At 42.6% G+C, this 27342-nt stretch overlaps 1 protein-coding gene across 2 annotated transcripts in view, besides 2 other annotated features; it reads right to left on the reverse strand.

The window, feature by feature from the left end:
* Positions 1-25041, reverse strand: part of TUBB8 (tubulin beta 8 class VIII) — a 30167-nt gene extending 5126 nt beyond the window's left edge. The window contains exon 1 of one of the 2 annotated variants that reach the window (NM_001389618.1): positions 24861-25041. The gene's annotated coding sequence lies outside the window, so the exon portion shown is untranslated. Of the gene's footprint in view, positions 1-22388; positions 22651-24860 lie in introns of those variants that run through there. The other variant, NM_001389619.1, reaches the window with a different exon arrangement.
* Positions 22631-22680: an enhancer, noted in NCBI's record as "active region_2890". NCBI's record gives its function as "activates an Ori minimal core promoter by ATAC-STARR-seq in GM12878 lymphoblastoid cells {active_cell/tissue: GM12878}" and the evidence as "EXISTENCE:reporter gene assay evidence [ECO:0000049][PMID:35858748]".
* Positions 25033-25092: a silencer, noted in NCBI's record as "silent region_2057". NCBI's record gives its function as "represses an Ori minimal core promoter by ATAC-STARR-seq in GM12878 lymphoblastoid cells {active_cell/tissue: GM12878}" and the evidence as "EXISTENCE:reporter gene assay evidence [ECO:0000049][PMID:35858748]".

Raw genomic sequence — 27342 nt, forward strand, 5'->3', positions numbered from 1 at the left:
AACAGACTAATACAGCCTGTATGCCAGAAAGACTAGAAGCACCTGTGGACTCTGACAGCTAAGTAGCTGGGTTTATGGCTTGGCAGGCTTTAAGGGTTGTGTCTGGAGGGTCGGTCTAGCAATAAGTCCTGACACTTTCATAAATATTCTCCTATTATCCACTGCTGCCCTTTACCTTCTAGGACCACCTTCCCTTGGTGTGGGGTCAAAAACCTGTAGGTGCTGTTCTAATGTTAGTTTATTATCTTTGCCAACTAGAAAAGTGGTAGCAGCAATAGCTCTAAGACATCAAGGCTAAAAGTCAGAGGATCGCTAAGGAAAGTAAAAGCTAAACTGTTTGGGGCCTCTTTCCTGGGGCTGCCTCCAGGCTACTGCAAAACGGAGGCGGTGAGCAGAAAGGCAACAATATGCAGAGCACTCAGGTGAGGGACAAAGAGCACAAGGTGGACAGTCCAAAAAGAGAAAGTGGCAAACATCTTGTTTAGCCAAATCCATTCTTCTCAATGTTCCCCAGGGCCTCTAACCCTGTGGGCTTGGCCTCTAATCTGAGTATGACACCCCCAGGTCTCTACTTTGGGCTGAGTCTCTCACCCTAATATTATACCCTAGGGCCTCTCACTTAAGTAATAGTGGGTAATCATTCTTGCCAACCTGAATGGCTTCATGACCCTAAAACACAGCCCACTTGCCAGCTAAATGATTCTATGTGGATTGTTTTCCTTGGAGTGGGGGTCTTGTCTTGGTGTCCCTTCATGGTGTTGCTGAAAGATGTTGCTAGAAAAGAGGGTCCTGACACAGACCACAAAGTAGGATTCTTAGATCTTGTGCAGTAAAAAATTTGAGGTGAGTCAGAGAGCACAGTGAAAGAAGCAAGTTTATTAGAAATGACTCCATTACAGAGTTGGACATCCTCAGAAAACAAGAGCAGGAATGCATTGTCTTTTGTTAGTGTCTCTAACTATAAAGAGAAAGAGTTATAATTAAACTTGGAAGGTGCAGATGTACTCATTAAAGTCGGGGCTATTCGTTTTAACAATGACCATTAACCCGTTGACCTAAGCTAGCTCGTTAATATTATCTTTAACAAAAAATGCTGCACTCCTAGGACATTTATACATTTTTCAGGCTTGGTGGAAGATGTCTTGTATGGCCATAAATATTCTGCAATTGTAATCTGTGGCCAGTAAAAAAATGTGGCTATTTTCAGACCATAGGTATTAACCTTCTAGATGCCTTGTGAGTACCTAGCTACTCATATTAAGATAGAGAATTCTAGTCATGTGTATTAAACTAGAAGCTTGGTAACCACGAGTTCCTCTAACACAACAAGTATACTCCTCAAGGAGAAAATGTATTTCTCAGGAATTTTGTGCATTTTGTTTGATGGCATTTGGTATGTTTACCAAAATGGCAGAAAAGAGTGAAATTAGTACTCAAAGATTTCTCAGGATTGGACATAAAGTAAACAAAATGATTATAGTTAATATGCAAGTTGACACAGTTGATATGCAAAAGAAATTTTGTTTGAAACATGAGATTTTTATTTTTATTTATTATTATTATTTTGAGACAGAGTCTTGGTCTGTTGCCCAGGCTGGAGTGCAGTGCACCATCTTGCCTTACTGAAACGTCTGCCTCCCAGGTTCAAGTGATTCTCCTGCCTCAGCCTCCCAAGTAGCTGGGATTACAGGCATGAATCACCACACCCAGCTAATTTTTGTATCTTTAGTAGAAATGGGGTTTCACTCTGTTGGCCGGGCTGGTCTCAAACCCCTGACAACAAGTGATCTGCCCACCTTGGCCTCCCAAATTGCTGGGATTACAGGCATGAGCCACTGCTCCCAGCCACAATGAGGCTTTTAAATAATTCTGATTTCCTGCTGTTGAGCAGGGAGCTGAGCAAATTCAACAGATCATGAGCCTAAAGTAGAAGACTGAGGACAAACTCTAGAACACATGTGATTAAATTAATTACAATGGAAACCAAAACAAATTTAGTAAGGCCATACCTCTTAGTTTCAAGATGTTTCCCCTCATTTTGAAATGTGGTGTTATTCAGTGGAAAAGAAAAACAGTGTTTATCTCCAGAGTAAAGAACAGGGTTCCCTGCAGGGACTGACTGACTGAGAGCTATGGCTCAGGATTAAAAATTCTTCTTTTTTCCACTTATAAACTAAAAATTAATTTCTAAGCCCCTATTGACTAAATGGACACCTCTTCTTGGATAAGGACATTCCAAAGTTAACCTGAAAAGCTACTTCAAGCCATGGGTCACACCTGCCTCATTAGACTCTCCTCCTTTTGGTTTTAATTGTAATTTTTAATTAATTTTTGTGGGTACATAGTTGGTGTATATATTTATGGGGGTACATGACATACTTTGATACAGGCATGCAATCAGTAATACACAATAAAAAACAGGGTATCCATCCCCTCAAGCATTTATAGCTTGTTTTATAAACAATCCAATTATACTATTTTAGTTTTTATAAAATGTATAAATTATTTTTTTACCATAATCACCCTGTTCTGCTACCAAATACTGTCTTATTCATTCTTTCTAACAATTTTTTGTACCCATTTCACATCCCCACTAACCCCGTTCCCCCACTGCCCTTCCCAGCCTCTGGTAACCAACCTTATACTCTCTATCTCTATGACATCAATTGTTTTGAATTTTAGCGCCCACAAACGAGTGAGAACATGTGACATTTGTCTTTCTGTGCCTGACTTATTTCACTTAACATAAAAACTTTCAGTTCCATTTCTGTTACTGCAAATGACAGACTCTCATTCTTTCTTATAGCTGAATAGTACTCCATTGTGTATATGTACCACATTTTCTCTATCCAGTCATCTGTTGATGGACATTTAGGTTTCTTCCAAATCTTGGCTATTAGCAACATTTGTTTTTGACTGACTTCTGGATAAAAGCCACCTTAACTGAGGTGAAATGATATCTCATTTTGGGTTTGATTTGCATTTCTATGATGATCAGTAATGTGGAGCACCTTTTTATTTGCCTATTTGCCACTTGTATGTCTTATTTTCATAAATGTCCAATTAAATTTTTGTCCACTCTTTTATTATATTTTTTTCTATAGAATGTTTTGAACTCAATATATTGTAGTGTATTAGTCTGTTTCTGCACTGCTATAAAAAAACTGAGACTGGGTTATTTATCTATTTATGTATTGAGATGAAGTCTTGCTCTGTCACCCAGGCTGGAGTGCATTGGTATGATCTCGGTTCACTGCAACCTCCACCTCCTGGGTTCAAGCAATTCTCTGCCTCAGCCTCTTGAGTAGCTGGGATTACAGGCACCTGACATGATGCCCAGCTAAGTTTTGTATTTTTAGTAGAGACGGCGTTTCACCATCTTGGCCAGGCTGGTCTTGAACTCCTGACCTCGTGATCCACCCACCGCTGCCTCCCAAAGTGCTGGGATTACAAGCATAAGCCACTGCGCCTGGCGAGACTGGGTAATTTATAAAGGAAATAGATTTAACTGAGTCACAGTTCCACATGGCTGGGGAGGCCTCAGGAAACTTACAGTCATGGCGGACGAGGAAGCAGGCACCTCTTCCATGACAGCAGGCGAGAGAGCATATATGTGAAGCAAAGGGGGAAGAGCCCCTTATAAAAACATCAGATCTCATGAGAACTCACTCATTGTCAGAAGAACAACCTGGAGGGAACCAACCCCATGATCCAATCACCTTCTACCAGGTCTCTCCCTCAACACCTGGGGATTACAATTCAATATGAGATTTGGGTGGGGACACAAAGGCTAACCATATCACATCGCTATTAATTGCTTTTCAGATAGGTAATTCACAAATATTTTCTCCCATTCTGTGGGTTTTCTCTTCACTTTGTTTCCTTCACTTTAAAAAAGCTTTCTGACCTGCTGTAATTCCATTTGTCCATGTTTGCTTTGGTTGTCTGTGCTTATGGGGCATTATTTAAGAAATTTTTGCTCAAACCATGCCCTAAAGGGTTTCCCCAGTGTTTTCTTGTAAAATTTTGATAGTTTGAGGTGTTAGGTTTAAGTTTTTAATTTATTTTAATTTGATTTTTGTATGTGGCAAGAAATAGGGTTCCAGTTTCACTCTTCTGCCTATGGCTTGCCAGTTTTCCCAGCCCTATTTATTACAGAAACTGTCTTATTTTTTGTTGTATGTTATCAACACTTTTGTTCAAAATAAGTTTAGTTTAGCTGTATGAGTTTGTTTCTAAGTTCTCTATTTCATTCCATTTGTCTTTATGTCTTTTTATTCTAGTGTCATGCTGTTTTAATTACTATAGCTTGATAGTATAATTTAAAACCAGGTAATGGGATTCCTCCAGTTTTGGTTTATATACTCAGAATAGCTTTGACTATTATGGTGTTTTGTGGTTCCATATATATTTCAGATTTTTTTTCTATTTCTGTGAGGAATGTCATTGTTATTTTGATACAGATGGCATGAAAAGTACAGATTGCTTTGGATCGCATGGACATTTTTTAAAATACTGATTCTTCCAATCTGTGAACATAGATATAACTTTCCATTTTTTTGTCTTCTCTTTCTTTTATCAGTGTTTTACGTTTTTAATTGTTGAAAACTTTTATTTCTTTGGTAAATTCCCACACATTTTGTTTTATTTGTGGCTATTGCAAATAGGATTACTTTTTTGAATTCTTTTCCAGTTTGTTGACTGTTGGCATATAGAAATCCTACTGATTTGTACATGTTGATTTTGTATTATGCAAATTTACTCAAGTTATTACTTCTAATAGTTTTTTGATGGATATATTAGGCCATTCTCACATTGCTGTAAAAATAATCGGTGACTAGTTAATTTATAAAGGAAATAGGTTTCATTGGCTCATGGTTCTACAGGCTGTACAGAAAGCACAGCACTGGCTTCTGCTTCTGGTGAAGCCTCTGACAACTGACAATCAAGGTGAAAAATAAATCCGGTGCTTGCACATCACGTGGTAAGTGCAAGGGCAGGGGGGAAGTGCTACGCACTTGTAGATAACCAGGTCTCATGAAAACTTAACTATTGTGAGAATGGCTCCAAAGGAAATGATGCCAAACTGTTCATGGAAATCCTGCCCTCATGATTCAATCACCTCCCCACTAGGCCCACTTCCAACATTGAGGATTACATTTCAATGTAAGATTTTGGTGGGAACACACACCTAAACTATATCATTTTGCCCCTGGCCATTCCAAATCTCATATCCTTCTCATATTTCAAAATACAATCATGACATCCCAATAATCCCTGAAGTCTTAACTCATTTCAGCCTTAACTCAAAAGTCAAAAGTCTCATCTAAGACAAAGCTAGTTTATTCCTCCTATAAGCCTGTAAAATAAAAACCAAATTAAGTACTTCCAAGATAAAAATGGGGCATAGGCATTGGGTAAATATTCCTATTCTAAAAGGAAGAAATCAGCCAAAAGAAAGAGGCCACAGGACCCATGCAAGTCTGAAACCCAGAAGGGGAGTTATTGAATTTTAAGGCTCTAAAATAATTATTTTTGACTCTATGTCCCATTTCCAGGGCACACTAATGCCTTGGGACGTTTAGACCTTGTGGCTTTGCATGGTTCAGCCCCCACAGCTGCTCTCATGGGCTGGTATTGTGTGCCTCTGGCTGGTTTTGTGTGCTTCTGGCTTTTCCAGGTGCAAAGTGCAAGCTGTAGCTAGATCTACCATTCTGGGGTCTGGAGGACAGTGATCCTCTCCTCACAGGTCTACTAGGCCATGCCCCAGTAGGCAGCCCACATGGGGACTGTAACTCTACATTTCTTCTCTGCATTGTTTTAGTAGAGGTTCTTCATAAGGGCTCCACCCCTGCAGCATGCTTCTGCCTGCACACCCTGGCTTTTTTATACATTATTTGAAGTAAAGGTGGAGGCTCCCAAGTCTCAACTCTTGCATTTTGTACACTCACAGGCCTAACACCATATGAAAGCTACAAAGGCTTATGGCTTGCACCCTCTGAAGCAGTGACTGGAGTTGTAACTGGGCCAATTTGTGCTACACCTGGAGCTGAAGCAGTGGCCAGGATGCAGGGAGCCATGTTCTAAGGCTACCCAAGGCAGCAGTTCCTGGGCCTGATCCCAGAAACTATTCTCTTCTTTTAGGCCTCAGGGTCTGTGATGGGGGGCTGCCTTTTAGATTTCTAAAATGCCTTCAATTCCTCTTTCCCATTGTCTTGGCTATCAACACTTGCTTTTTTTTTAAGTTATACAAATATCTCTAACAAGTGATTGCTCCACAGCCTGCTCAAGTTCCTCTCTTGTAAAAGCTTTTTATTTTTCTGCCACATGACTAGGCTGCAAAGTTTTTAAGCTTTTACCCTATGCTTCCCTTGCAAGTAAAATAAATTACAACTTACTTTTTTTTGCTCCAACATGTGAGCATAGGTTGTTAGAAGCAGCCAGGCCACATCTTGAACGCTTTGGTGCTTAGACATTTTTCCAACAGAAACCCTAAATCATCACTTTCAAATTCAAACTTTTATATATCCCTAGGGCATGACAAAAATTCAGCCAACCACTTTGCTAAGACAACATGAATGACCTTTGCTTCGGTCCTAATTTTCTAATTTTCATCTGAGACCTCCTCAGCTCAGCCTTCACTGTCCAGATCACTATCAGCATTTTGGTCACAGCCATTCAAAATTAAGAAAATCTCAACTTTCCCTCATTTTTCTGTCTTCTTCTGAGTGCTACAAACTCTTCCAACCTCTGCCTGTTTACCCAATTACAAAGCTGATTCCACATTTTCAGGTATTCTTATAACAATTTTCCACTCCTTTGTGCCAATTTTCTGTATTAAGCTTTTTCCCCATCACTATAAATACCTGAGACTGGGTAATTTATTTTTTAAAAAGGAGGTTTAAGTGGCTCATGATTCTACAGGCTGTAGAGAAGACACAGCACTGGCATGCACTTCTGGGAAGGCCTCTGGAAGTTTACAGTCATGGCAAAAGTTGAAGCAGAATCTTGCACATCACAGGGCAAAAAGCAGGAGCAGAAAACAGAGGGGCGAGTTACACACTTTTAAATAACCAGGTCTTATGGGAACTCACTCACTATCATGAAGATAGTACCAAGTGGGATGGTGCTAAGCCATTTATGAGTAATCCACCCCAATGGTTAAATCACCTGGCCCACCTCCAACATGGAGAATTACATTTAAATATGAGATTTGGGAGGGGACGCACATTCAAACCCTATCAGAGGAGTCTTTATGTTTTTCCAAATATAAGATTATATCACTGGCAAAAACAATAATTTGACTTCTTTTCCAACTGGGGTGCCTTTTATTATTGCTTTCTCTTGTCTGATTGCTCCAGACAGGACTTTCAGAATTATGTTGAATAACAGTGGTAAAAGTGGATATTCTTGTCATCTTCCAGAGTTTAGAGGAAAGGCTTTTAGTTTTTCCCCACTTGGTATGATACTAGCTGTGGGTCTGTCATATATGACTTTTATTATGTTCAGATATGTTCATTCCATACCCAGTTTTCAAAGGGTTTATTATTAAAGAATATTAAATTTTATCAAATACTTTTTTAGCATAATGGAAATGATTACATGGATTTTGTCCTTCTTTTTTTTGAGATGAAGTCTTCCTCTGTCACCCAGGCTGGAGTGCAATGGCATGGTCTCAGCTCACTGCAACCTCTGCCTCCCGGGTTCAAGCGATTCTCCTGCCTCAGCCTTCCAAGTAGCTGGGATTACAGGTGCCCACCACTGCACCCGGCTAATTTTTGTATTTTTAGTAGATATGGGGTTTTGCCACGTTGGCCAGGCTGGTTTTGAACTCCTGAACTCAGGTGATCCACCTACCTAGGCTTCCAAAAGTGCTGGGATTACAGGCGTGAGCCACTGCTCCTGGCCCCTTCATTCTGTTTATATGATATATCACATTGACTGATTTGCATGTTGAACCATCCTTGTATCTCTGGGATAAATTCCCCTTGGTCATTATGAATTACCTATTTATGTATTGTTTAATTGCATTTACTAGGTTTTTTGCAAATTTTTGCATCAATATTCTCAAATATGGGCCTGCAGTTTGCTTTTTAAATGTGTCTTTGTCTTGTTTTAATATCACTGTAATACCAGCCTCAAAGAATGAGTTTGGAAATGTTCTTTCCTTCTCTATTTTTCAGTCTGGTCCTATAGACATTTTTTTATTATGGCTTTAATTTTGTTACTTGTTATTGGTCTGTTCAGGTTTTGGATTTTTTCCTAGTTCACTCTTGGTAAGTTGTGTGTGTCTAAGAATTAATTTCCTCTAGGTTTTCTAATTTGTTGGCATACAATTACTTATAGTAGCCACTAATGATCTTTTGATTTTCTGAAACGTTACTTGTAAAGTCTCCTTTTTCACCTTTGATTTTATTAATTTGTATCTTTGTTTTTTAGCTAGCCTGTCTAAATATTTGTCAATTGTTTTACTGTTCAAAAAATCAACTTTTTGTTTCATTGATCTTTTGCACTGTTTTCTTCATTTTATTTCTGCTCTAATTTTTATTATTCTTTTCTTCTAATTTTGAGTTTGGTTTGGCCTTTTTATTCTAGTGAATTAAGATGTATTGTTAGGTTATTTATTTGCAGCTTTTCTGATTTTTATATAGGCACTTACAGTTATAAATTTTGCACAGCAAAAGAAACTACCATCAGAGTGAACAGGCAACCTACAAAATGGGAGAAAATTTTTGCAACCTACTCATCTGACAAAGGGCTAATATCCAGAATCTACAATGAACTCAAACAAATTTACAAGAAAAAAACAAACAACTCCATCAAAAAGTGGGCAAAGGACATGAACAGACACTTCTCAAAAGAAGACATTTATGCAGCCAAAAAACACATGAAAAAATGCTCATCATCACTGGCCATCAGAGAAATGCAAATCAAAACCACAATGAGATACATCTCACACCAGTTAGAATGGCAATCATTAAAAAGTCAGGAAACAACAGGTGCTGGAGAGGATGTGGAGAAATAGGAACACTTTTACACTGTTGGTGGGACTGTCAACTAGTTCAACCATTGTGGAAGTCAGTGTGGTGATTCCTCAGGGATCTAGAACTAGAAATACCATTTGACCCAGCCATCCCATTACTGGGTATATACCCAAAGGACTGTAAATCATGCTGCTGTAAAGACATATGCACACGTATGTTTATTGCGGCACTATTCACAATAGCAAAGACTTGGAACCAACCCAAATGTCCAACAATGATAGACTGGATTAAGAAAATGTGGCACATATACACCATGGAATACTATGCAGCCATAAAAAATGATGAGTTCATGTACTTTATAGGGACATGGATGAAACTGGAAATCATCATTCTCAGTAAACTATCGCAAGAACAAAAAACCAAACACCGCATATTCTCACTCATAGGTGGGAATTGAACAATGAGATCACATGGACCAGGAAGGGGAACATCACACTCTGGGGACTGTTGTGGGGTGGGGGGAGGGGGGAGGGATAGCACTGGGAGATATACCTAATGCTAGATGACGAGTTAGTGGGTGCAGCGCACCAGCATGGCACATGTATACATATGTAACTAACCTACACAATGTGCACATGTACCCTAAAACTTAAAGTATAATAATAAAAGAAAAATAAATAAAGAAATTTTCCTTTCATAATAGTACCTCTTTTACCATATTCCACAGGTTTTGCTATGCTATGTTTCTATTATTTGTTTCAAGAAATTTTTCCATTTTCTTTTTAACATTTTTATTGACCTACTGATCATTCAAGAGCATATTGTTTAATGTCCAAGTGTTTGTATAGTTTCTGAAATTCATTTTTTAATCGATTTCTAGTTTGTTCCATTGTGGTCAGAGAAAATGCTTGAAATTACTTCAAATTTTTTTAATGTTTTTAGACTTGCTACTTAACATATGGTCTATCCTTGAAAATAACCCATGTGCAGAGAAGAATGTGTATTCTGCAGCTGTTGGATGAAATTTTCTGTAAATATCTATTAGGTTCATTTGTTATACAGTGCAGATTAAGTCTGATGTTTCTTTGTTGATTTTCTGTCTGGAAGGTCTATCCAATGACTAAAGTAGGGTGTCGAAGTGTTCAGCCATTATTGTATTGATGTCTCTTTCTTTAGCTCTTATAGTATTTGCTTCATTTATCTAGGTGCTTTAGTGTTGGGTGCATATATATTTCCAATTATATCCTCTTCAAGAATTGATCTCTTTATTATTATATAATGACCTTCTTCATATCTTCCTACAGTCTTTTGTTGAAATCTATTTTTGTCTGGTATAAGTAAAGCTATTTCTGTTCTTTTTTGGTTTCTATTGGCATGGAATAACTTTTTCCATCGTTTTATTTTCAGTCTAAATGTATCTTTATAGGTAAAGTATTTTTTTTTTGTAGGTCACAGATTATTGTCTTGCTTCTCTATCCATTCATCCACTATTTGTCTTTTGATTGGAGTATTTCATTCATGTACATTCAATGTTATTATTGATAAGCACTTACTCCTGCCCTTTTGTTACTTGTTTTCTGATTGACTTTTGTCCTCTCATCGTTCTTTTCTTTCTTCCTGTCTTCCTTTTAGTGAAGGTGATTTATCTTTTAATATTATCTAATTTATTGCTTTTTACTTTTTGTACATCTGTGGTATGCTTTTTGATTTAAAATTATCATGAGGCTTGAATATAATATCTTATAACACATCATTTTAGACTGTGGACAATTTAACATTGATTGCATAAACAAAGAAACAAGCAAAGCAACTAATAAAAACTCTACACTTTAACTCCATTGCCATTCTTTTAAACTTTTTGTTGTTTCTCTTCCTTCCCTATTTTACTGTCTATGTCTTGGAAATATGTTGTAGTTATTTTTTACTGGTTTATTGTTTACTCTTTCTATTTGAGATTTTTGCACACCATAATTACCATCTTATAATATTCTGTGTTTTTCCATGTGCTATTACTAGTTGAGTTCTGTACCTTCAGATGACTTCTTATTGCTCATTCACTTTTTTTCTTTCAGGCTAAGAACTCCCTTTAGCATTTCTTGTAGGACAGGTCTGGTGTTAATGAAATACCTCAGTTTTTGTTTGTCGGAAAAAGTTCTCATTTCTCTGTCAAGTTTAAAGGACTTTTTGCCAAATACATTATTCTAAAGTAAAAGTCTTTTTTTTCTTCAGCTTTTCTAATATGTCATGCCACTCTCTCAGCCTGTAAATTTTCCCCTGAAAAGTCTGCTGTCAGATGTATTGGAGTTCCACTGAATGTTATTTGTGTCTCTTCTCTTGCTGCTTTTAGAATCATTTCTTTATCCTTAACCTTTGGGAGTTCAGTTAAGTGCCTTGAGGTGGTCTTCTTTGGGTTAAATCTGCTTGATGTTCTGTAACTTTCTTGTACTTGAATGTTGATATCGAATGTTGGGGAATTGTTTAATATTATCTAATATTATTTCTTTAAATAAATGTTTAATTTTTTTTTTTGATGGAGTCTCACTCTGTAGCCCAGGCTGGAGTGCAATGGCACAATCTTGGCTCACTGCAAGCTCCGCCTCCTGGGTTCACGCCATTCTCCTGCCTCAGCCTCCCAAGGAGCTGGGACTACAGGTACCCACCACCGCGCCCAGCTAATTTCTTTTTGTATTTTTAGTAGAGATGGGGTTTCACCGTGTTAGCCAGGATGGTCTTGATCTCCTGACCTTGTGATCCACCCGCCTCGGCCTCCCAAAGTGCTGGGATTACAGGCGTGAGCCACTGCACTGGGCCAATAAATGTTTAACTCTTATCTCTTTTTCTACCACCTCTTTAAGGCCAATAACTCTTAGATTCCTATTTTGAGGCTATTTTTTAGATTCTGTAGGCATGCTTTATTCTTTATTCTTTTTTGTCTCCTCTGACTTTGTCTTTTCAAATAGTCTGACTTCAAGTTCACTAAATCTATCTTCTCCTTGATCAATTTTTTTAAGTAACTCTGATGCATTCTTCAGTATGATAATTGCATTTTAACTTCAGAATTTCTGCTTTATTCTTTTTATTTAAATCTTATCTTTAAATTTATCTGATAGAATTTTGAATTCCTTCTCTGTGTTATATTGAATTTCTTCGAATTACCTCAACCAGCTATTTTGGATTTCCTGTATGAAAGGTCACATATCTCTATTTTTCCAGGATTTGCCCCTGGTGCCTTATTTAGCTTGTTTGGTGAGGTCATGTTTTCCTGGATGGCCTTGATACTTATAGATGTTCATCTATATCTGGGCATTGAAGAGGTCAGTCTTTATTGTAGTCTTCACAGTCTGGGCTTGTTGGTGCCCATTATTTTTGGGAACACTCTCCAAGTGTTCAAAGAGACTTAGGTCCCAAGCCCAATACACAGTAGCAAACACGTAAAGGTACTGCTTTGGTGGCCTTGGATTAACATCAAGAAAAATTCTCTTAATTTTTCAAGTAGAGATCTTGTTCTCTTCCCTTTCTTTCTCTGAAACCAGCAGAGTCTCTCTTTCTCTGCTGAGGCATGTGGAGCTGGAGTTGGGGTAACATAAGCACCCCTGAGGCCACCACCACTGAGACTGTGCTGGTTCACACATGAAGTAGCCATAGAACTTGGTCTCACCCAAGGCCCACTGTAACCACAACTTGGCTACCATATAAGTTTATTCAAAGCCCTAGCCCTAGCCCTAACCCTAACCCTAACCCCAAACCCTAACCCTAGTCCTAGCCTTAGCCCTAACCCTTACCCTAACCCTAACCCCCAACCCCAACCCTTAACCCTTAACCATGACCCCTAACCACTGACCCCAACCCTAACCCTTAACCCTAACCCTTAACCCCTAACCCTAACTCTAAAACCCTAACCCCAACCCCAACACTAACCCCTAACCCTAACCCTCACCCTCACCCTCACCCTAACCCTTAACCCTAACACTAACCATCTAACCCTTCTCCATAACTTAAACCTAACCATTACCCCAACCCTAAATCAAACTCTAAGCAAACCCTAACACACTAGGCACACAAGAACAGAGGTGTGCATATTCATTCTGTCATACTTATGTTTGCACTTCCTCTCACACATACACATCAACACACTCACATATGCATACCCCTATACATACTGAAATGTCATCTGATTTGTGACCCAAAGAACTCTCAACTAAGAAATAAATGAAAAGTTGCTTACACTGACTAATACTGAAGGAAGTGCCAATTAAAAGAATATTAAAATATCTTTGCCTGCCTGTGTGCAGGCTGGCGTGGTGGCTCCTGCCTATAATCACAGCACTTTGGGAGGCAGAAGTGAGTGGATCACTTGAGGCCAGAAGCTTGAGACCAGCCTGGTCAACATGAGGAAACCCCCATCTCCACTAAAAAAAAAAAAAAAAAAAAAAAATAGTTGGGCATGTTGGCACGCACCTGTGTTCCCAGCTACTTGGAAGGCTGAGGCCTAAAAATCATTTGAACCCAGGAGTTGGAGGTTGCTATAAGCCAAGACTGTGCCACTGCACTCCTCCCTGGGCAACAGAGCAAGAACCTGTCTCAAGAAAAGGACTGATATTTACTGTTGACAAAGGCTACAGGCACTCTCTTGCTAACCCTAAACCCTGACTTTGACCCAGACCTCATCATACTCTTCCCCGCAATTCCTCAGGTATGTTTTCTTTCTGCTAATTTTTTTCCCCTAAACTTCTAACACTTAATACGCTAAATAGTAAACCAACCCATACCCAATCCCATCCGCAATTTAATACTAAACCACACTAGGACTTGACATCACAAGAACAGAAAGGTACAGATCAATGTCTAGTATAATTATTCAATTAATAATGCTCAAGAGGCTGGGTGTGGTGGCTCACACCTGAAATCCCAGCACTTTGGGAGGCCAAGGCAGACAGATCACCTGAGGTCAGGAGTTTGAGACCAGTCTTGCCAACATGGTGAAACCCTGTCTCTACTAAAAATACAAAAATTAGCCAGGCGTGGTGGCGGGAGCCTGTAATCCTAGCTACTCAGGTGGCTGAGGCAGGAGAATTGCTTGAACCTGGGAGCCAGAGGTTGCAGTGAGCCGAGATCGTGCCACTGCACTCCAGCATGGGCGACAAGAGTGAGACTCTGTCTCAAAAAAATTAAAAATAATAATAATAATAATGCCCAAGAAAATAATTGTAATTTCATACTAGCACGTATTTTGAGGATTGCACAACATGATCACTACATCCTTTTCTCAGAAAATCAAGCTGGTTTGGCATACTAAAGCCATCACTGCAAAGGAACATCAAATAAACAGAATAAAGAAGAAACCCACATGCTAATTTCAATAGATGCAGGAAGTACTTTAAACAAAGTCAACACCATTTCATCATAAAAACACCCAACAAACCAGGGATAGGAATTTTCTAAACACCACAATCGGACTTTAGCACAATCTCCATTGTCAGGGCCCAGTGCTTTACTCCTAAGATCAGGACCAAGGCACCAATGCTCATTTTCATCACTGTATTCAACACTGTACGGGAAGTTCCATCCACAACAAATAGGAGAGAAAAAGAAGTAAAGAGAACTTATATGTGTTAGGAAACAGTACAAATGGCTACTCACAGATCACAGGAGCTATCTTATGTACAGAAATATCATGACAAACCCCCAAAATATTATTAAAACTAGTAAACTACAACACAAAATGTCAATACACAGTAATCTGCTGTATTTCCAGACACCAGCAACAAACAACATGAGAATGTAATTATGAAAACCATTCCAGGCTGGGGGTGGTGGCCCACACCTGTAATACCAGCACTTTGAGATGCTGAGGTGGGAAGATCTTTTGAACCCAGGAGTTTCAGGCCAGTCCGGCCAACACAGGAAAACACTCTCTCTACAAATAACTTAAAAATTAGCTAGGTGTGACGATGCATATCTGTAGTCCTAGTTACTCGGGTGACAGAGGAGGGAAGATTGCTTGAGCCCAGGAGGTTTAGGCTGCAATAAGCCACGTTCACACCACTGCACTCCAACCTGGCCAACAGGGCAAAACCATGCCTTGAAAAAGAAAGAAAAAGAAATTACATTTTTAAAAATCAACAGGCTGGACATGGTAGCTGACACCTGTAATCCCAATGCTTTGGGAGGCCAAGAGAGGAGTATCACTTGAGAACAGGAGTTTGAGGCCAACTTGGGCAGGACAGCAAGACCCTACCTGTATAAAAAAATCAAAAAATTAGCCAGATGTGCTGGTGCATACCTGTAGCCCCAGCTACTTGGGAGGCTGAGGCGGGAGGATCACTTGAGCCCAGGAGACAGAGGTTGCAGTGAGCCATGATTGTGCCACAGTACTCCAGCCTGGGAGACAGAGTGAGATCCTGTCTCAAAAAAATAAAAATAAAGCAATTGCTCATAGAAATATGGGTTTATTTCTGAACTCAAAATTCAGTTCCATTGATCTATTCAATGGATTATACCAGAATCATGTTGATTTTATTACTGTTGCTTTATAGTAGGATTTGAAATTTGGAAATGTGAGCCTCTGAGTTGTTTTGTTTTTTTGTTGTTTTTTTTTTTTTGACACTATTTTGGCTATTCTGCATCCCTTGATATTTCGTATAAATGACAGGATCAGCCTGTTGATTTCTGCCAAAAGGACGTTGGGATTGTAACAGGAATCACAAAGAATCTGTAGATGGCTTTGTGTAGTACTGCCACCTTAAGAATTATTAAGTCTTCCAGTTCGTGAATATGAGGTGTCTTTAAATTTATGTAAGCTTTCTTGAATTTACTTCAGCAATGTTTTGAAATTTTCCATGTACAAGTTATTTTGTTGTTGTTTTTTGTTTTTTCCAGAGATGGGGTCTCACTCTGTCACCCAGGGTGGAGTACAGTGGCAAGATCTTGGCTCACTGCAACCCCTGCCTCCTGGGTTCAAGCAATTCTCCTGCCTCAGCCTCCCAAGTAGCTAGGATTACATGCGCATGCCACGATCCCTGGCTAATGTTTTGTATTTTTAGTACAGACGGGGTTTCACCGTGTTAGCCAGGATGGTATTGATCTCCTGACCTCATGGATCCACCTGCCTTGGACTCCAAAAGTGCTGGGATTACAGGCGTGAGCCACCATGCTCAGCCTCATGTACAAGTCTTGTACCTTGGTTAAATTTATTCCAAATAATATTATTACTGTTGATTGTTTTTTGAGAGAGTCTCACACTGTCACGCAGGCTGGAATGCAGTGCCACAATCCTAGCTCTTCAGCATGAATCTCCTGGGCTCAAAAGATCCTCCCACCTCAGCCTCTAGAGTAACTGGAACTACATATGCGTGCAAGTACAACCAGTTAACTTTTTAATATTTATGTAGGGACGGTGTCTGGCTATGGTGCCCGGCTTTCATTCTAAAATTTTTAAAAATTCTGAAATTTTAGCCATGAATCAGGCATAAATACTGTGATGGTTAATTTTAGGTGTCAACTTTACCAGATTAAGGAATACACAGAGAGCTGTTAAAGCACTATGTGTGGGTATGTCTGTGAAGGTGTTTTCAGAAGAGATATCATACTGGTATAACATATCACGGCATATCGTAATACTGATATGACACCCACAAGACTGCTGTGACACCCATAAGACTGATGTGAAGCCCACAAGATTCATGACACTCCTAAGACTCATATGACACCCATAATACTGATATGACACCTGTAAGGCTGATATGACACTCATAAGACTGATGGGACACCTGCAATACTGATATGATGCACACAATACAGATATGACACCTGAAATACTGATATGACGCCCACAATACTGCTATGACACCCCTAAGACTCATGTGACACCCTCAATACTGATATTGCAGCCGCAATACTGATACAGCATCCAGACTCTCACCGGGGTGCTTGGTACACAGCTTCCACTGACCTGAATTTGGACTGGGTTTGGCCTCTGTAGTGAAGTTTGATGCCATCTCTGCTTTACTGACATGGTATTACTGTGGTTGTTTTCAATTTACTTTACAGTAATTTCATACTTCTAGGAATCTTGCAATAGCAGTGTAAAGTGTAACTTATCCCTTCTCTTAGATTCCTCAGCAGTTACAGCAACTCCACACAAAACACTCCAGTGTATTTTACCAAAGCAAAGACGGCCTCCCAGCTAACCACCACGTAACTCCCAAATCAGGAAATACAAGGTCTCTACCTGACAATCCAATCCAGGGACCCATTTCACTTCACTGCCTGCCCCAAGTGGGAGAAAGGGTCTCTTTCCATTTGGATTGGGTTTTCCTTTTTCTGGAATGTTCCTGAGCTGTCCCTCAGTTTCACAACGTTGGCAGATAACTCCCAGCTGGGTCTGCCCCGTGTTTCCTCCTGAGCAGATGCAGACCCTGCGTTCCCAGGGGAAACACCTCAGCCCAATGCTTGCTCTCCTCAGTGCAACCCACCAGAAAGAGCACAATCCCCCTGCCCGCAACTGGTGATCTCAACTGTAAAATGGCAAAATTCTCATTTTCAAACCCAAGGTTCACAATGTCACTCTCTGATTCAACTTTTACAATGGATTCCCACTGGCCTTAGAACAAGGACCACAGGACTGACCATGACCTCCACACACTGTGTGCTCCTTCCTGCATGCTGCCCTTTCCAAGGCATTCAACCCCAGTGGCCTGCAGTCTTGTATGCTCTCTCTTACAGGGACACAGCAGCCTCCTGGGTGTCTCGAGTATTTAATGCATGTTCCCTCAAGCCATTCACCCAATGTCCACCCTTAGCAAATTGTCTAAGACACTGTCCAGCAAAATCCCTAAAGTCACAGCAGGTGTGGTATCTAACAGTAGTAAAGTTAATAATGTGGTTTTTCTAAAAACAAAATGTAATTATTTCTTAGATAATCTCTAAGAATCACCCGCAATTTGTAGATCAAGGAAATAATAGTTTAATGGAACCAAAGTCCATGTATGAGATAATTAGGAAAGAAAAACGAAATCTCAGTGTTGAACGAAAGGCAAATGGCGTAACTAATTACTGAAATTTAATAAGAACACACTGGGCCGGGCATGGTGGCTCATGCTTGTAATCCCAGCACTTTGGGGGGATCTGAGGCCAGCCTGGGCAACATGGCAAAACCTCATCTCTACAAAAAAAATACAAAAATTAGCTGAGCACGGTTGTATACACCTGTAGTCCCAGCTACTGGGGAGGCTGAAGCGGGAGGATGGCTCGAGCCCGGGAGGATGCAGTGAGCCGAGATGGTGCCAGAGGACTCCAGCCTGGGCAATCGGGCCAGACCCTAAAAACACTCTCCTCCTGACTCTTCAGGGAGCCAGACAGAATTCTCTCTCTTCTGCTGCCTCCTTTGTGTTTGAATATAAAACACAAAAACGAAAGCTTTGTGAAATAAATTTAACCAAGCTAAACAAAACACCTAAATAAAAGCTTTGTCTGGGAAACTTGCTCATCCTCATGTCAATTTCTATTACTGGAGAGCCAAGAAACTCTGGTCAGTAACAATACCACTGACAGCTGGTTCCTGCAAAAGGTGTTGTGTTAGACAGGAATTATTTTAAAATAATTAAAGCTTGTCATTGGGTCATAAGAAATTGTTTAATATAACAATTCCCTCAATTGAAAACAAGATAAACTAATAAGTATATTTTGTTGTTGTTGTTTTGTTTTGTTTTTGTTTTTTTATTTTTTTTATTATTATACTTTAAGTTTTAGGGTACATGTGCACAATGTGCAGGTTAGTTACATATGTATACATGTGCCATGCTGGTGTGCTGCACCCATTAACTCGTCATTGAGCATTAGGTATATCTCCTAATGCTATCCCTCCCCACTCTCCCCACCCCACAACAGTCCCCAGATATTTTTTAAAATATTATTGATGGAAACAAACCGCAGAAATAAATAGAATTAAGAATTCTGTAAAAAACTAGAAAGATATAAATTAGAAGTCAAATAAGAGAAACTTATTGGCTCATGCCTGTAATCACAGTACTTTGGGAGGCCGAGGCGGGCGGATCAGCTGAGGTCAGGAGTTTGAGAACGGCATGGCCAACATGGCAAAACCCAGTCTCTACTAAAAATACAATAATCAGCCAGGCATGGTGGCGCAGACCTGTAATCCCAGCTACTCAAGAGGCTGAGGACGAATTACTTGAACACAGGAGGTGGAGGCTGCAGTCAGCCGAGATCTCCACTGCGCCACTGCACTCCAGCATGGGAGACAGAGCAGAACCCCGTCTCAAAAAATAAAAAATAAAAAAAAGGAGAAACATATTGAATCAAACTGGAAACAGAGAGAAAATGGGTGATTTCCTAATAAAAATACACAACAAAATGGACTCTAAAATAAGGAAAATTTAAATACACCGATTAGCATAGAAAAGCTTGGAGTGACCCTTAGAGATCCCCATCAAAAAAGGACCCCAGGGGCAGGGCGTGGTGGCTCATGCCTGTAATCCCAACACTTTGGGAGGACAAGGCGGGCAGATCACTTGAGGTAAGGAGTTTGAGACCAGCCTTGCCAGCATGGTGAAACCCCGCCTCTACTAAAAACACACAAAAAATTACCCAGGCATCATGGCACACACTTGTAGTCCCAGCTACTTGGGAGGCTGAGGCAGGAGAATCGCTTGAGTCCAGGAAAGGGAGGTTGCAGCGAGCGGAGATCGTGCCACTACACCCTAGCCTGGGCAACTGAGTGAGACTGCATCTCAAAAAAAAAGAAAAAGAAAAAAGAAAAATACCGCAGGGCTGGGCGCAGTAGCTCACACCTGTAATCCCCAGCACTTTGGGGAGGCCGAGGTGAGGGATCACCTGAGGTCAGGAGTTCGAGACAAGCCTGACCAATATGGTGAAACCCCATCTCTACTAAAAATACAAAATTAGCCGCATGCCTGTAATCCCAGCTACTTGGGAGGCTGAGGCAGGAGAATCATGTGAACCCAGGAGTCAGAGGTTGCAGTGAGCCGAGATCTCACCATTGCACTCCAGCCTGAGAAGAAAAAGTGAAAATCTGTCTCAAAAAAAAAGTGGGGAGACCTTAGGCTGGGTGCAGTGGCTCACACCTGTAATCCCAGCACTTTGGGAGGCTGACATGTAAGGATCACTTGAGCCCAGGAGTTAAAGACAAACCTGAGGGACATAAAGATCCTGCTTAAATTAGCAGTGCATGGTGGCTGGTGCCTATAGTCCAAGCTACTTGGGAGGCTGAGGCAGGAGGATTGCTGGAGCCCAGGAGGTCAAGGCTGCAGTAAGCCATGATCACACCACCGCACTCCAGCCTGGGTGATAGAGCAAGACCTTCTCTCTTAAAAAAAAAAAATCAATCAATAAAAATGTAAAGGCTGGGTACAGTGGCTCACACCTATAATCCCAATAATTTGGGAGGCAGAGGCAGGTGGATCACTTGAGGTCAGGAATTAGAGATAAGCCTGACCAAAATGGTGAAACCCCATCTCTATTAAAAATACAAAATTAGCCAGGCATTCTGGTGCACACCTGTATTCCCAGCTGCTCAGGAGGCTGAGGTAGGAGAATTGCTTGAACCCAGGAGGCAGAGGTTGCAGTGAGCCAAGATCGGGACATTGCACTTTAGCCTGGGCAACAGGAGCTAAACTCTGTCTCAAAAAACAAACAAAAAAATTTTTTTAATTAAAAAAAAAAAAAAAAGCAGCCAGGCGTGGTGGCTCAGGCCTGCCTGCAATCCCAGCACTATGGGAGGCCGAGGTGGGTGGATCACTTGAGGTCAGGAGTTCGAGACCAGCCTGGCCAACATGGTGAAACCCCACCTCTATTAAAAATACAAAATTAGCCCGGCGTGGTGATGCAGGCCTGGAATCCCAGCTACTCAGGAGGCTGATGCAGGAGAAGTGCTTGAACCCAGGAGGTGGAGGTTGCAGTGAGCTGAGATCGCGCCACTGCAGTCCAGCCTGGGCGACAAAGTGAGACTCCATGTCAAAAAAAGAAAAGAGGCTTGGCTCAGTGGCTCACGCATGTAATCCCAACACTTTGAGAGGCCAAGGCGGGTGGCCACGAGGTCAGAAGTTCAAGACCAGCCTGGCCAAGATGGTGAAACCCCATCTCTACTAAAAATACAAAAAAATTAGCAGGGCATTGTGGCAGGCGCCTGTAATCCCAGTTCTTGGGGAGGCTGAGACAGAGCATTGCTTCAACCTGGGAGGTGGAGGTTACAGCGAGCTGAGCTCACGCCACTGCACTCCAGCCTGGGAGACAGAGCGACACTCCATCTCAAAAAAAAAAAAAAAAAAGCAAAAAGAAAAAATAAGAAAAGACACCGCAGGGCCATACGGGTTTACAGCTCAGTATTAAATAACCTTAACGAAATCTGATTTTATTTAAAATGCTGAAGGCCAAGGGAAAAAAAAAAAGATTAGTGACTTTCTTCAATTAATTTTATGGTATCATGTCAAAGCTTGATATAGTTAATACATTTCAACTAACTTAGGATGAGAATGTTTATAAAACAGACGTCATTTTCTGTACCATTACAAATACACTGCAAATTAAACAGACTTTCTCAACAAAAGAAAAACTGTTGTTGACGAGTTCACTTCCATTAGACGCACACAATGGTGTTTTTGGTTTTGTTTTCATTTGTTTTTGTTTTTTGAGACAAGGTCTCGCTCTGTTGCCCAGGGCTTGAGTGCAGTGGCGTGAGCATGATAATGTGCCTACTTTTCCATTTTCCTGTGTTGTTTCTACTATGTTAACAAATGAGTCTGAAAACACGGAGCACTGACCAGGCCAGGTGGCTCACGCCTGTAATCCCAGCACTTTGGGAGGCCGAGGTGGGTGAATCACCTGATGAGGTTGGGAGTTCAAGACCAGCCTGACCAACATGGAGAAACCCCGTCTCTACTAAAAATACAAAATTAGCCGGGCGTGCTGGCGCATGCCTGTAATCCCAGCTACTCGAGAGGCTGAGGCAGGAGAATCGCTTGAACCCAGGAGGCGGAGGTTGCAGTGAGCCGAGATCGCGCCATTGCACTCCAACCTGGGAAACAAGAGCGAAAGTCCGTCTCCAAAACAAAACAAAACACAAAATGAGCGCTGATCCGGGGGCGCCCGTTTCCTCGACCTCAGGCTGTGGCGCCTGCCAGTCCCCAACATCCCGACAGCCCGACGGCGTCTCCGCTTTCCTCCTCCTCTCCCGGTACCAGGGTCTCTCCCCAGAAACAAACTCGCATTCCTAACCGGCATCTTGGCCTTGCGCTGGGGGTGACCCGCCCAAGCCACCATGAAGGGACGCTCGCACAAAGTGAAGTCCACATACAAACAGCCCGACGGGAAACGCGGCCGCGCTCGCCCCGCTGCACTCGCAGCGCGGGCAGGAAGCCTTTTCCTCACTTTTGCCTCGGTGTCCCGGAGCTGCAGCAGCGTCTCCCTGTCCTCACAGCGGACGCGGCCCCAGGTGTCCCAAGCCCCGGCCCCTCCTGGGTGGGTGCTGAGGAGAGGAAGCTCCGTCCTCACGGTGGACCCCCCGTCCTCACAGTGGACCCCCCGTCCTCACAGTGGACCCCCCAGGACGCCGCCGTGCGGTTCGGACACGGTTCGCGCGCGCGCGGCCCTCCGGGTTTGGCAGGGCCGGGCGCCCCCTCGCGACAGCTCTGGGGAATCTCTGGAAATCAGCGTCTGATTTTTTCCAGGCCCTGATTTTGGAAATTTCAACTGAACTGGAGACCACCATCCCGTCCCTTGACCGGAACGCATGGAGATAGCAATCGAAGAAGATGACCAGTTCACGCCTGTAATCCCAGTACTTTGGGAGGCCGAGTCGGGCGGATCACTCGAGGTCAGGAAATCGAGACCATTCTGGCCAACATGGTAAAATCCCATCTCTACTAAAAATACAAAAATTATCTGGGCGTGTTGGCACACGCCTGTAGTCCCAGCTACTCTGGAGGCTGAGGCAGGAGAATCCCTTGAACCCGGGAGGTGGAGGTTGCAGTGAGCAGAGATCGCGCCACTGCACTCCAGCCTGGCGACAGAGCGAGACTCAGTATCAAAAAAAAAAAAAAAAAAGAAAGAAAGAAAAAGAAAAAAATAGAAAGAAGGAAAAAAGAAGGAAGAAAGTAAGGGGAAGGAGAAGGGGAAGGGAGAAGGAAGTTAAGAAGAGACTCCAGGCTAGGTGCAGTGGCTCACGCCTGTAATCCCAGTACTGTGGGAGGCTGAGGTGTAAGGATCACTTGAGCCCAGGAGTTCAAGACAAACCTGAGCAACGTAAAGATCCTACTGTCTGTGCCAATTTTTTTTTTTTTTTTTTTTTTTTTGAGACGGAGTTTCACTCTTATTGCCCAGGCTGGAGTGCAATGGCGCGATCTTGGCTCACTGCAACCTCCACCTCCAGGGTTCAAACAATTCTCCTGCCTCAGCCTCCCGAGTAGCTGGGATTACAGGTGCGCGCCACCATGCATGGCTAATTTTTGTATTTTTAGTAGAGACGGGGTTTTGCCATGTTGACCAGGCTGGTCTCGAACTCCTGTCCTCAGGTGATCCCCCCACCAAGGCCTCCCAAAGTCATTCACACCTGGGATTACAGGCGTGAGCCACCGCGCCCAGCCAAATTTTTTTTTTTAAATTAGCTGTGCATGGTGGCTGGTGCCTATACTCCTAACTACTTGGGAGGCTGAGGCCGGAGGATTGCTGGAGCCCAGGACACCGAGGCTGCAGTGAGCTGTGATCACACCACTGCACTCCAGCCTGGGTGACAGAGCAAGACCTTCTCTCTTAAAACAAAACAAACCGAAAAAAGGCTGGACGTGGTGGCTCACGCCTGTAACCCCACCACTTTGGGAGGCAGAGGTGGGTGGATCACCTGAGGTCAGGAGTTCGAGACCAGCCTGGCCCACATGAGGACACCCCATCCCTACTAAAAATACAAAAATTAGCCAGATGTGGTGGTGGGCGCCTGTAATCGTAGCTACTCCGGAGGCTGAGGCAGGAGAATTGCTTAAACCCGGGAGGCGGAGGTTGCAGTGAGCCAAGATCGCACCACTGCACTCCAGCCTGGGTGACAGAGCAAGACTCTGTCTCAAAAAAAAAAAAAAAAAGACAAAAAGAAGATGGCCGGTAGACAAAACTCAATTTATTTTCTTTATTTTCTTTTTACTCTTAAAAAGGGTCTCGCCCTGTCGCCCAGACTGGAGTGCAGTGCAGTGAGCATAATGTGCTACTTTTCCATTTTCCTGCGTTGTTTCCACTACGTTAACAAATAAGCCTTAAAACACCAAGCACTGGCCAGGCGAGATGGCTCATGCCTGTAATCCCAACACTTTGGGAGGCTAAGGCGGGTGGATTTCCTGGGGTCAGGAGTTCGAGACCAGCCTGGCCAACATAGTGAAACCCGTCTCAACTAAAAATAGAAAAAATTAGCTGGGCGTGATGGCGGGTCCCTGTAATTCCAGCTACTCGGGAGGCTGAGGCGGGAGAATCGCTTGAACCCGGGAGGCGGAGGTTGCAGTGAGCCGAGATCGTGCCATTGCACTCCAGCCTGGGAAACCGAAGCGAAACTCCGTCTCAAAAAAAAAAAAAAAAAAAAACACGAGCACCGATCAGGGGGCGTCTGTTTCCTCGGCCTCAGGCTGTGGCCCCTGCCAGTCCCCAGCCTCCCGACCGACGGCACAACGGCCTCTCCACGTTCCTCCTCCTCTCCGGGGACCAGGGTCTCTCCCCAGAAACAAAATCGCATCGGTAACCGGCATCTTGTCCTGTGCTGGGGGTGAGCCGCCCAAGCCTCCATGAAGGGACGCTCGTACAAAGTGAAGTCTGGGTACAAATGGCCAGACGGGAAACGCGCCGCGCTCGCTCCGCTGCACTCACAGCGGCGGCAGGAAGCCTTTTTCTCACTTTCTCCCCGGCGGCCCCAGGTGTCCCGGAGCGTCTCCCTGTCCTCACAGCGGACGTGGCCCCAGGTGTCCCGAAGCCCCGGCCCCTCCGGGGTGGGTGCTGAGAGGAAGCTCCGTCCTCACAGTGGACGCCCCACGCCGCCGCCGTGCGGTTCGGACACGGTTCGCGCGCGCGCCGCCCTCCGGGTTTGGCAGGGCCGGGCGCCCCCTCGCGGCAGCTCTGGAGAATCTCTGAAAATCAGCGTCTGGATTTTTCCAGGCCGAGATTTTGGAAATTTCAACTGAACTGGAGACCACCATCCCGTGCCTTGACGGGAACGCATTGAGATAGTAATCAAAGAAGATGGCCAGTTCACGCCTGTAATCCCAGCACTTTGAGAGTCTGAGGCGGGCGGATCACTTGAGGTCAGGCGTTCGAGACCAGCCTGGCCAACGTGGTGAACTCTCGTCTCTACTAAAAATACAAAAATTAGCAGGCATGATGGCGCGTGCCTGTAATCCCAGCTACTCTGGAGGCTGAGGCAGGAGAATCGCTTGAACCCGGGAGGCGGAAGTTGCAGTGAGCTGAGATTGTGCCACTGCACTCCAGCCTGGCGACAGAGCGAGACTCCTTCTCAAAAAATTAAAAAAGAAAGAAAGAAAGAAAAAGAAGATGGCCAGTAGACAAAACTAAATTGATTTTCTTTCTTTTCTTTTTAGAGACAGGGTCTCGTTCTGTTACCCAGGCTTGAGGACAGTGGCATAATCACAGTTCCTGGGTTCAGCTTCCAGCTCCCGGGTTCAGCTTCCAGCTCCCGGGTTCAAGAGATTCTCCAACCTCAGCCTCCCAAAGCACTGGGATTACAGGTGTGAACCACCGTGCCAAGCCCCACCTGATTTTCTTTTATTTATTTGTTTTAATTATTTTATTTTATTTTTTACTGGGGGGAGTGGGTCTCACTATGTTGCCCAGGCTGGTCTAGAACTCCCAAGCTCAAGTGATCCTCCCAACTCAGCCTCCCAAAGTGCTAGGATTACATGAGTGAGCCACCATGCACTGCCTGACTTTCTATCAGCAATAATATATAGGAATAATTTGAACTTGAAATTTAAAAAAAATTACCATTTATAATAGCACCCCCAAAATTGAATTTATTAAGTATAAATGTAACAAAATACATCCAAATATGCATTCAGAAAACCTTGGATCATGGTTGGGAAGAATAAAAAATATATAAATAAATGCAGATACTCTTTGTTAGGAGCAGTACACTCATTACTTTTAGCTTTACCACAAAGCTAAAGTAATGAAGAGAGTGATATTGGTGAAGGAATGGACAAATAGATAAACAGAATAGAATACAGAACCCAAAAGACCCAAATAAATATAGTCAACTGCTTTTGTCAAAGGGGCAAAAATATTCAGTGGGGAAAGAAAAGTCTGTTCCACAGATGGCGACAGAACAATCGGAAACCATAGGGAAAAAAATGAACGTAGGTACAAACTTCATAGCTCACCCCTAAAAAATAATTCAAGATAGACTGTAGACTTAAATTTTCAAATATAAAATTGTAAAAGTTATTGAAGAAAATCCATATGACTTTGGATTGGTGATGAGTCTTTAGATACAATACCAAAAGCCAGTTCATAAGATAAAAAATGATAATGTGGACTTTATTAAAATTTAAAATGACTACTCTGTGAAATATCCAGTTAAGAGAATCAAAAAACAAGCCACAGACTGAGAGAAAATATTTAAAAAACAAACCTGAAAAAGACTTGTGCGCAAAATATACAAACAAATTCTAACAACAAAAAGAAAAACAACCCAATTAAAAGTTAGACACCTCACCAAAAAAGATATACAGATGACATGCCCAGGTGCAGTGGCTTATGTCTGTAATCTCAGCACTTTGGGAAATGGAGGCAGGCAATCACTTGAGGCCAGGAATTTGACACCAGCCTGGCCAACATGACAAAATCCTGTATCTACTAAAAATACAAAAATTAGCTGGGCATGGTGGCTGGCGCCTGTAATCCCAGCTACCTCGGAGGTGGAGGCAGGAGAATCACTTGAACCGGGGAGGCAGAGGTTACAGAGAGCTGAGATCACGCCACTGCACGTCAGCCTGGGCGACAGACCAAGACGCCATCTTAAAAAAAAATGGAGTTTTGCTGTCACAAGCCAAGAAACTAACAGAAGCTGAAGAGAGGCCCGAAATGGATACTTTCCTAGTGCCTTCAGAGGGAGCACGGCCCTGCTGAGACAGAGTAGAAATGGGACTCGGCCCACCCCAACTAACGTGTTGTTCCATACATGCCCGCTGACCACCAGACCTTGCAGCACCACCCTCCAGGTGCCATACTCGCTGGCCAGACCCTGCCAACCTTCTGAAATAAACTAAGATAAGCAGCATCTCGCCATAAGTCTTACTCAAGGGAGTTGACTCCATCACCCTGTTGTGCACGAGGCCAG

The sequence above is a fragment of the Homo sapiens genome, chromosome 10, assembly GCF_000001405.40.
Source record: "Homo sapiens chromosome 10, GRCh38.p14 Primary Assembly".
Classification (NCBI taxonomy): Eukaryota; Metazoa; Chordata; class Mammalia; order Primates; family Hominidae; genus Homo; species Homo sapiens.